The sequence below is a fragment of the Homo sapiens genome, chromosome 12 (assembly GCF_000001405.40).
Source record: "Homo sapiens chromosome 12, GRCh38.p14 Primary Assembly".
Lineage (NCBI taxonomy): Eukaryota > Metazoa > Chordata > Mammalia > Primates > Hominidae > Homo > Homo sapiens.
In genome coordinates, this window is record NC_000012.12 from 113,694,714 (window position 1) to 113,696,164 (window position 1,451).

Sequence of the window (1,451 nt, forward strand, 5' to 3'; positions counted from 1 at the left end):
CACGCCATGCCCCTCCTGCAGGGGTCACGGACACAAGCCTGTTGAGAGACAGGGGCAGGGACACTGTGGCGTTTGGCTTTCCTTCTTCAGGTGCAGTGAATCGTGTTTGAGAGATGAAGCCATGCAGGGAGGCTTGCTTTCTGGCTGAGACCTTTAAAGCCAGCAGCCTCTGAGCTCATCCAGGGTACGTTCTTCAGCGTTTCCGATGTCCTTGGCTCAGTCGGGCCATCTTGGTGGCAGCTGCCCGGAGCTGGAGGAGAACAGGCCTCAATGTCTCCTATTATTACTGGAACGTCAAGTACCCCTGAAGTGGAGGGCAAGGCTGGCCCTGTCTGCCAGCGACAGGGCGCGGTAACTCAGCCACCTGGGACCCCAGCTGCTCAGGCCTGAGGGTGAGGTGCTGACGTCCTCCACCTCCCTTCCTGATGGGCACAGCCGCCTGGCCTGGTTCACCCGGCTCTCTTTACCTCCCCCTCCCTGGCCATCTCTTCTTCCTGCTTGCCAATGGCCTCATTATCCCAAAGGGTGAGCTGTGTGTCCTCGCTGGCAATGGTCTTTGTGACCCAGGCCTCCTCCAGCCCCCAGACCTCCCAAGTATCCCCGTCTTGGCTGCAATGAGCTTCCACAGAGGTCAGCCAAGCCCAAGCATTTTCTGAGACAGACCTGGGTCAAACCTGTGCCTTGTGACTCTGGGCAAGTGACCTTCCCTCTCATCTGTCGTAGGGGCTTGATTTTCAGTGACAATGTTCTGGGGTCGTTTTGCAGGTTGTTCTAGGTCGGGCCCCTCAGAAGCAAAGCCTGGGACATGGATGGGGTGTATAGGATTTATCTGGGGAGTGGGCTTGAAAGGAAAACCTCAAAAGGAGGGGAGACACAGGATAGGACCCGGGGAGGGGCTGAGCAAGGGTGTGGTCCCTGCTTTGGGCCTAATCCCACAGGGGCTCTGGAGCATAAATTGAGCTTGAAGTCATCCCACCTTAGCAAGGGGGCCAGGTGTGAGTCTATGTTGATGGCTACTCAGGGAGGGGTGGGGGTGTAAACACCCAGGCATCGGCTCACATCAGCAGAAGGCAAATCTCTAAGAAGGGGGCAACTCCAGCAGCCACGGGGATCTGACAGCCCCAACAACATCTACTACGAGGATGAAATGAGACGATTCACAGTGCTGGAAAGCACCCGACCACCCCGAGGGCAGCGCCCTCATGCTAGTAGTGTATTCTCATGAAGCAGGTTTTGCCTTCAGCCCAGAAAGACAGCAGAGCCTGGTGGGTGAACCCTTGCTTCCATCTCCAGCCACCCTCCTCATCCCTCATCCCATGTCCCTTGAGATGTCCAGGTTACCTCCCGGGGTCGAGGAGCAGAGCAGATGGCCCTGTGCCTTCAGAGTCACGTGCTCATGACTGGCATTCCAGCCCTTAGGATGATGTGGGGACACCCTACATCCCTCCACC

At 57.3% G+C, this 1,451-nt stretch overlaps 1 annotated feature.

The window, feature by feature from the left end:
- Nucleotides 359–858: an enhancer, noted in NCBI's record as "H3K4me1 hESC enhancer chr12:114132877-114133376 (GRCh37/hg19 assembly coordinates)". NCBI's record gives its function as "activates a minimal SCP1, AML or CMV promoter by ChIP-STARR-seq in naive H9 embryonic stem cells {active_cell/tissue: H9 hESC(naive)}" and the evidence as "EXISTENCE:reporter gene assay evidence [ECO:0000049][PMID:30033119]".